Source organism: Homo sapiens, chromosome 6, assembly GCF_000001405.40.
Source record: "Homo sapiens chromosome 6, GRCh38.p14 Primary Assembly".
Classification (NCBI taxonomy): domain Eukaryota; kingdom Metazoa; phylum Chordata; class Mammalia; order Primates; family Hominidae; genus Homo; species Homo sapiens.
Genome location: NC_000006.12, coordinates 49626805 through 49636839, shown reverse-complemented (window position 1 = coordinate 49636839; position 10035 = coordinate 49626805). Strand labels below are relative to the sequence as shown.

Genomic DNA, 10035 nt, shown 5'->3' with positions numbered 1-10035 from the left:
AGTGTGCCTCTGTCCTTTGCCACAAACATGAGGTTCACATTCCCTCTCATGGCTATAGTCCTGGAAATTGCCATGATTGTTTTATTTGGATTATTTGTTGAGTATGAAACGGACCAGACTGTTCTCGAGCAGCTCAACATCACCAAGCCAACAGACATGGGCATATTCTTTGAGTTATATCCTCGTGAGTAGGCAATTTACTACTTACTATACATTTTTCGGTTCTTCGGTTTCTCAGAATGTAAAACAATTGAATACTATAAACCCTTGAGCTCTTTGTAGAATTATATGATGGTTATGAGTGCTAAGGATATTACATGTTTGTGATGTGACATCTGGTCTTCTTCTCTGTGATTAAGGTGCTTGGTTGGAACTTTTTCCTATTAAAATATCAGAACAAGAAGCTGAAAATTAAAATAATTGATGCCTTTTGTATTGCTTATCTACTGCTAAATGACCTTTTTCCTTCAGTTGGTCACTAGTTCTGCAAAGAAAAGTATCACGCTTCCTTTGCATTCCCCACTGAAAGGGCCAAAGGTAACTTTGGAGGAGAGAGAGTTCTAAGAATGGAGTTATAAGAAGGGAACCCTAGATTTCATGTGAGGACCCTAAGGAATAAGAAGGGGTATTTAGTATGATGTAGGAAGTTAATGGAGTTTTAATCAAAAAAGTGTACTCAGAGTTTTACAATATTCTGAAAGGAAGTCGGTTTGTTACTTTGAGATGAAAAGAAATGTGTGAATACTTAACATATTTTAAAAACAAAATCCTTCCTTGGGAATGATGATTGAGCAAAGAGAGAAATTTAATTCAAGTTTGGAAGGGTAGGCTGTAAAATAGTTAATATAACAATAACTACCATTTACTGCGTCCTTATTATAAACCAACACATCCATTACCTCATTAGCCAGGAAGGAAGACAGTAGTATGTCACTATTATATAGACTATTTGCTTTTCTTAAGTAAGGTTCAAATAATCTAAAAAATTTAAAAATTATTTAAAATGGTATAATGTTTATTATACTTCATAGCATATGTCTAAGCTTTTTAAAAAACAATTTGACACCCTTTTTTTTATTCCAACATTTTTTGAGGGAATTAATATGATGGGGGTATTCCCATGTAGAAATAATGGCCTAGAGTTGCTAAGTGACATAGGAAAAATATAAAATTGAAAGCTAAGGACAGAGTTAGGGTAATAAGACAGAGAAAACTAGACTCCAAGTCTAGCTGTCTTTACACTGCATAGATGTCTGAGAGGGTTCTTGATTAAATAAGTTTTATAGTTTGCAAGTTAGAGAATAAAACAGAAAAAATTCTGTTCATCTATGTATGCTTTTGTACATTTCATTCATTCATCCATTTATTCATTTAGTACATATTTTATTAAGCACTAAGCATGTGCTACAGCAAATTTATTAAAAAATAAAACAAATATGATTCTTTTATTCTAAGACTCCACTATCTGATACACTTGTAAACAAAGAGATGCAATACAATGTTAAAAATGCCAAAAATATGATCTAAGATTAATATGATTTAAATAAAGTTATCTTAAGACTTTAAGAGCTTAATAATTGTATCATTCAAGCTGAACTTTCTAAGTCCCAGCATCAAAGCTTCTAGGTAAAATTTCAATTCACAATTTGAGATCAACACCAGGTTGAAGGAAAGTCACTAAACATGGTCATTTTTCAGTAGCCTAGCTATAGATGTATAATTTTTGGACATCTAGTGTGCAACATAATGATGATAGTTAACAATACCGTATGGATATTTGTAATTTGCTGAGTGGATATTGCTTCAATTTAATCTGATCACCCCTCGCCCCACCCCCCCGACACACACAGGTATACACAAACACACACACACACACACACACAGGTGTACACACACAATAATAACAATGTAGAGGTAATGAATGTGTTAACTAGCTTGATTGTAGTGATCATTTCACAAAGTATATGCATATCAAAATGTCAAGTTGTATACCTCAAATGTATATAATTGTATACGTCAATTATATCTCAATAAATCTGTTTAAAAATATAGTTTAGTAGTCACATCGCTCTTCTACACTACTTGTAAAAACATGAAAATTTATTGATTTTATGATTCATGAAGAAAATATTTATTAAGCTACCAATTCTCGTAAGCAATCTTCAACTCTCTCAAGCTTGTAGGCACTAGATAGTGAATAAAACAAACAAAATGGGATTCCATTGTGTATATATGCCACATTTTTTTTTATCTATTCATCCACTGATGGATACTTAGGTTGATTACGTATCTTGGCTATTGTGAATCGTGCTGCAATAAACATAAGAGTGCAGATATCTCTTTCTCTTCAATATACTGATTTCATTTTCTTTGGAAATATCCCTAGTAGTGAGACTGCTGGTTCATGTGATAGTTATATTTTTAGTTTTTTGAGAAACTTCCATATTGTTTACATTATAATTTATATTCCCACCAACAGTGTGTAAGAATTTCCTTTTCTCTGCATGGAGGTAGAGAGTAGAATGATAATTACTAGATATTGGGAAGGGTGTTGGAACAGGGAAAGTGATGAAGAAAGTGTGGTTAATGGCTACAAATATACAGTTAGATAAAAGGAAAAAGTTCTAGTGTTTGTCGTACAGTAAGGTGACTGTAGTTAGCAACAACATATTGTATATTTTGAGATAACTAGAAGAGAAGATTTGAAATGTTTCTTATACAAAGAAATGATAAATGTTCAAGGTGATGGATATCCTGAATAACATGATTTGCTTATTACAATTCATATGCATTTATCGAAATACCATCCACATGTATCCCATAAATGTGTATACATATTACGTATCAATTTTAAACAGAAAAGAAAATGAAAAAAAGACAAAATGGGCAAAGTCCATGTCCTCAGGAAGTTTACATTCCACAGGGAAAGGCAGACAAGGAGATATGTGACCAGACACATCTGAATGTCTAAATGTATACCATATATTTAGATGGTTAAAAAAAATGCCATGGCTGTAAACGAAGCAAGATTAGAGACATAAATGCATTTGGACAAGAGATGTTTTTTCAGCCTCTCTCCACCAGAGAGAGAACAAAATCCTAATGACTCAAGGCATCCATTGCGTGCAATTAATTAACTTGTCTCCTATGCACCTAGAATGCCACAAAGTGAAATTTTACATGAAAGGTAGCCATCATTCACTCAAAATGCTGTCCATAACCCAGTCTATTCACAATTAAAAGTTCTCTCTTCAGGAAAGGTGGGTCTCAAGACTCAAAATTCTGGAAAATTCTCATCTTCCAGTTCAGTTATATTATTCCTGCTTAAAATTGTTTGTAGAATAGACTGAGAAAGTACATGACTGAGGTGTTATATACATATATATGCTATATGGATTTCCCTACATTTCAAATAATTGACTTACACAAAGTTTATGTAATGGTATAAGTTAATGGAGAACAGATAGTTAATATTCATTAATAGAAAACAATGTTCAAGTCAAATGAGTAAACATTTTGGGTGCCTACCTAGTTCCATGCCCAGTGCCAGTGCAGGGATTCAAGCAAAGAAAAGGCTCGGTTCCTCCCCAAGAAGTTCACAGTACATTATGATAGTTCTCAATTGTAGTGTGGTAAAAGATTTGAGTATTTCAAAAATAAATGAAATTGTATATTAATCTACATTTTAAGTAAACTACAGAAAATACAAATTTATTCTCATCACTTGTATTCTGTCGTGCTTTTTTAAACAGTAGAGAAGGGAATTAGGTTACAGAACCCTTGGGTTTGCACACAACCGTAAGCACAATCATGAAACTATGTTATGTACCTGAATATCATGTTTCATGCCATGAATATCCCCTGAGATACTCACTTGATAAACTAGCTATACTCCATGGTTTTTGGCTTCCATAGCACCTATCAAAGTGCTGGTCACCCTGTTGAGTCAAATAATTTAACAAGCACTGAAGTTTGACTGTGTCTGTCAGCTAATCCTTGCTAACATGTAGACGGACTAGAGAAAATTAAGGTTAAAGAGAAGGCTCTCTGGGGACTGCTTACATTTTATTAGAGATTCCACAGATGCCAGGTATTTAATATCTAGGGGACATTAAAATCATATTAATGATTTTTTTATACTCTGTGGCATTAAAAATCCGTTAGTTTATCCTGTACTTTGATTGGCTCATTTACTCATGTGTCACACTGTAATACTGTTACATTGTCCATTTGAAAAATATTGATTCACTGACTTATACAGGTCTTCCAAATGTTGACATATTTCCATATATAACATAAAAAAGAATATTCGTTAATATCATCAACAGTCTCTCTAGAAAAGCCTTGCCAAGTATCAGGAAGTTGATAAGCTTGTGATAGCAGACACAAATTTTCTGAAATTCTAATTGTTTAAAAACTGAGAATATATCATAGCTATAAATACTGTCAGTTCTTTAAATTGAGATGATAGCCTCATTTCATGCATTTTTCAGAAAATATCTGCCAGACACTCAAGTCTGAGAAGCAACAATGTATGTGTCAGTCTTTCTTTCAAGCAACAATGGAATCTTATTAAAATGGTTCTTGTTCAATTAGCAACTCAATCAATCACAGAAGTGCTTTTTTTCTGAGATACCATCACATTTCAGTAGTGCTTTACATATATTTGTATTTCACCAGGCTGATTCATACGTATTAAAAAGACATGTCATACACAAAAGGCAAATACGATCCTAGAATTGTCATGAAAATAGTTTTAACTTCTCAGACTCCCTGAAAGTCAGTCTGCAGGACACCCAGATATCTGTGGATCACAGTTTGGGAACCACTGAAGATAGAGGTGAACTGGCAAAGGATCTACACATCACTCGAAATCATTTCATGACTTTCACCAAAAGATTCAGCAAATCTTCATGTTACAAACAAAGGTAGCTGATTTCTACTGTGTAAACAATTCCTAGGAAATGGTTTGCTGCTGCATTGTTACCTGGAATTGTCATGATAACTGAATTAATATACTGTCTGTAATATATGACCTAACAATAAGATACTAGTCTCTAGCAGAACCGATGTGATGCCTTTGAATTGGACAGTTTTGCCTACTTAAAAGGCCTGCAAGCCATGGGCACAAATAGAACTAAGACCTTGGATTTGAAATATCATTCCCCACTCAGGGACTCATTGGAGAAATTGCTGGTTCCAGGTTGGGGCAAAGAAAGCACAAGGTAACCCAAGTGCTTAAAGACTAACAGGGCCATGTGAAAAGGACACAGGATCCTGCTTGAATGGGGCATCAACAGGCCAAATTAGGAATACATGGAGTGTTAAAATAATAATGACATAATGGTAATAGAAATTCAAATAAGGAAAAAGGGATTCAATAAGCCCATAGAAATATTGCATAAAAGAGAAAAAGAGGAGAAGGAGGAAGCTCTTCTTTATAGAAGAATACTAATTAATATAAAGGAGAATAGACATAGAAAATTACAATTTTGAAATTACCAATGTAATAATTCATTTCAGCAATGTTCATCATGGAAGCTAAAATCATTGGGTGAAAAGTTATTGGATAACATGGCATTCACATGTTCTGAAAGAGTCACCCAGAGATTACTTGATACTTACAGGGTCAAAGTTACACTTATAGTGGAGAGGTCTGGCAACACCAGTTTTAACCAAGTGGTCAAACCTACCATTATCAGTAATAGGAAAAACAAATTATGTGCTTCCTCATGTGATCTAGTGGGAAGTACACAATACTATCTGTATAATATTCTTGCCAACAATATTTAGTCTGATTCTAATCATGGTGAAACAATCAAACAAATCCAAATTGTAGGGCATTCTACATAAAAAATGAAATAATACCAGCAATGAAAAGCATGTAAGAGAACTGCTCTAAATCAAAGGCGTCTAAAGACACATGACAAAGAAAATGTATGAAACTTGAGTGAATAATTAATCCAGAAATTTTATAAAAAGACAGTCTGGGAATAGTTGGAGTAATCTGAATATAATTCTATGTTAGGTCATATTATTATACCGATGTTGGCATTTCTTGGATGTGATGCTGATATTATGGTATTTAGAATTGTATGGTATTTTACTTAGGAGATGTACACACACACACAAACACAGAAAGCAAGTGTGAAAATATTAATAACTGATAAATCTGAGTGAATAGTATGTAAGTGTTTATTGTATTCTCTTTTCTAAATATTTGAAATATGTAACAATAATATATTTAGAGGGAGGAAGGAAGATACTGCCCTAAGGATACTATTCTCTCAAAAAAGATGAGTTTAGAATACAACCCCATTGGTTCAAAAGATTGCCAAAAAGTTATATGTATAGCAAACTACCTTGCCAGCCTTGAGCCACTAAAAAGCTGGCCCTCACCAGTAATCTATTTATTTATGAATAAATCAGGCAGTTCCTAAAAAGCTACAGGTGGCAGACTTTCTGTTGAGTTCTCTGAGACAAGCCACCTAATGACTCCTATCTTCAGACTTGCATTCACTTTCTCCTGCAAAAGTGTCTAACTGGCAGTGTTCCATCAAGTCTATTTGAATAACTGACAAATGAGCACACAGAGCAACAAAACAGACAAACAAACGAAATAAAACAAGAGGGATATGCACAACATGGGTAACACTCAGAGAATGATTCTTAAAAGGTATCTAGAAGATTTTCAGGTAAAGGAGTATTGGGGCTGGGCTCATACCTGTGAGAGGTGACAGCGTGCTGGCAGTCCTCACAGCCCTCGCTCGCTCTCGGCGCCTCCTCTGCCTAGGCTCCCACTTTGGCGGCACTTGAGGAGCCCTTCAGCCCACCAGGGCACTGTGGGAACCTCTTTCTGGGCTGGCGAAGGCCTGAGCCCACTCCCTCAGCTTGCAGGGAGGTGTGGAGGGAGAGGCGCGAGCGGGAACCGGGGCTGCGTGCGGCTCTTGCGGGCCAGCTGGAGTTCTGGGTGGGCATGGGCTTGGCGGGCCCCGCACTCGGAGCAGCCGGCTGGCCCTGCCGGCCCCGGGCAATGAGGGACTTAGCACCAGGGCCAGCGGCTGCGGAGGGTGTACTGGGTCCCCCAGCAGTGCCAGCCCACCTGCGCTGCGCTCGATTTCTCACGGGGCCTTAGCTGCCTTCCCGTGGGGCAGGGCTCGGGACCTGCAGCCCGCCATGCCTGAGCCCCCCACCCCCTCCATGGGCTCCTGTGTGCCCGAGCCTCCCCGATGAACGCCACCCCCTGCTCCACGGCGCCCAGTCCCATCGACCACCCAAGGGCTGAGGAGTGTGGGTGCACAACACCGGGACTGGCAGGCAGCTCCACCTGCATGCCTGGTGCGGGATCCACTGGGTGAAGCCGGCTGAGCTCCTGAGTCTGGTGGGGCCTTGGAGAAGCTTTATGTCTAGCTCAGGGATTGTAAATACACCAACCGGCACTCTGTATCTAGCTCAAGGTTTGTAAACACACCAATCAGCACCTGTGTCTAGCTCAGGGTTTGTGAGTGCACCAATGGACACTCTGTATCTAGCTGCTCTGGTGGGGCCTTTGGAGAACCTTTATGTCTAGCTCAGGGATTGTAAATACACCAATCGGCACTCTGTATCTAGCTCAAGGTTTGTAAACACACCAATGAGCACCCTGTGTTTAGCTCAGGGTTTGTGAGTGCAGCCATCCACACTGTGTATCTAGCTGCTCTGGTGGGGCCTTGGAGAACCTTTGTGTGGATACTCTGTATCTAACTAATCTGATGGGGATGTGGAGAACCTTTGTATCTAGCTCAGGGATTGTAAATGCACCAATCAGCACCCTGTCAAAACGCACCACTTGGCTCTACCAATCATTAGGATGTGGGTGGGGCCAGATAAGAGAATAAAAGCAGGCTACCTGAGCCAGCAGTGGCAACCCACTCTGGTCCCCTTCCACAATGTGGAAGCTTTGTTCTTTTGCTTTTTGCAATAAATCTTGCTACTGCTCACTCTTTGGGTCCACACTGCTTTTATGAGCTGTAATACTCACCGTGAAGGTCTGCAGCTTCACTCCTGAAGCCAGCGAGACCACGAGCCCACCGGGAGGAACGAACAACTCGAGACGCGCCACCTTAAGAGCTGTAACACTCACCGCGAAGGTCTGCAGCTTCACTCCTGAAGCCAGCGAGACCATGAGCCCACCAGGAGGAACGAACAACTCCAGACGCGCCACCTTAAGAGCTGTAATACTCACCGCGAAGGTCTGCAGCTTCACTCCTGAGCCAGGGAGACCACGAACCCACCAGAAGGAAGAAACTCCGAACGCATCGGAACATCAGAAGAAACAAACTCCAGACCCAGACACGCCACCTTAAGAGCTGTAACACTCACCTCGAGGGTCCGCGGCTTCATTCTTGAAGTCAGTGAGACCAAGAACCCACCAATTCCGGACACACCTGCACTTTGGGAGGCTGAAGCAAGAAGATCACTTGGGCCCAGGAGTTTGAGATCAGCATGGAAAACATAGTGAGACCCTGTCGCTACAAAACAGAAAATAAAAAATTAGCTGAGTGTGGTAGTGTGCACCTGTAATCCCAGCTACTCAGGAGGCGGAGGCAGGAGGAGGTCAAGGCTGTAGTGAGTTATGTTCATGCCACTGCACTCCAGCCTGGGCAACAGAGCAAGACCCTGTCTCTCTCTCTCTCTCTGTGTGTGTGTGTGTGTGTGTGTGTGTCTCACACACACAAAGTGTTGGGTGTGAGATGGAGCGGACATCATTCCAAGCAGCTGGCATATATACATATCTATATAGGAAATAGAGGAAAAGGAGAGTTTTGTTTCATTTTGTTTCTTTTGGGTGGTAGAGAGTGTTAGAATAATCAGTTACATTTTAACATGTTGAGTTATTAAGTGATATGGTTTGGCTGTGTGTCCCCAACCAAATCTCATCTTGAATTGTAGTTCCCATAATTTCCACATGTCGTGGGAGGGACCCAGTGGAAGGTAATTGAATCATGAGGGCAAGTCTTTCCTGTGCTGTTCTTGTGATAGGAAGTCTCACAAGATCTGATGGTTTTATAAAGGGGAGTTCTCCTGCACCAGCTCTCTCACCTGCCACTATGTAAGACATGAGTTTGCTCCTCATTCGCCTTCCACCACGATTGTGAGGCCTCCCCAGCCATGTGGAACTGTGAGTCAATTAAACCTTTCCTTTATGAATTACGCAGTCTCAGGTATGTTTTCATTAGCAGTGTGAGAACAGATTAATGCAGTAAATTGGTACAGGTAGAGTTGGATGCTGCTGTAAAGATACCCGAAAATGTGAAAGCAACTTTGGAAATGGGTAACAAGCAGAGGTTGAAACAGTTTGGAGGGCTCAGAGGAAGACACGAAGGTGTGGGAAAGTTTGGAAGTTCCTTGAGACTTGTTAAATGGCTTAGACCAAAATGGTGATAGTGAGATGGGGAACTTGTTGGAAACTGGAGTAAAGGTCACTCTTGCTATACAAAGAGGCTGGCATAGTTTTGCCCCTCCCCTGAAGATCTGCAGAACTTTGAACTTGAGAGAGATGATTTAGGGTATCTAGTGGAAGAAATTTCTTAGCAGCAAAGCATTCGAGAGGTGACAGAGCATAAAAGTTTAGAAAATTTTCGGCCTGATGATGCAGTAGAAAACAAAAACCCATTTCTTGGGGAGAAATTTAAGACAGCTGCAGAAATTTACATAAGTAACCAGGAGCCAAATGTTCCCTCATCACCAAGACAATGTGGAAAATGTCACCAGGGCATGTCAGAGACCCTCATGGCCATCCCTCCCATTACAGGCCAGGAGGCCTAAGAGGGAAAAATGGCTTCATGGGCCAGGCCCAGGGCTTCCCTGCTCTATGCAACCTCACGACATGGTGCTCTGTATCCCAGCTGCTTCAGCTCCAGTCATGGCTAAAAGGGGTCAATGTACAGCTCCGGCTGTTTCTTCAGCGGGTGCAAGCCCCAAGTCCTGGCAGTTTACATGTGGTATTGGGACTGTGGGAGCACAGAAGTCAAGAATTGAAGTTTGGGAACTTCT

The 10035-nt window shown here is 39.8% G+C and overlaps 1 protein-coding gene across 2 annotated transcripts in view; it reads left to right on the top strand.

Annotated features, from left to right (window-relative positions):
• RHAG (Rh associated glycoprotein) overlaps window positions 1-10035 on the top strand; it is a 31665-nt gene continuing 21630 nt past the window's right edge. For both annotated transcript variants that reach the window (NM_000324.3, XM_011514788.2), the window contains exon 1: window positions 1-184. In NM_000324.3, the coding sequence (NP_000315.2) occupies window positions 28-184 (157 nt within the window). In that variant the 5' untranslated portion in view covers window positions 1-27. The remainder of the gene's footprint in view (window positions 185-10035) is intronic.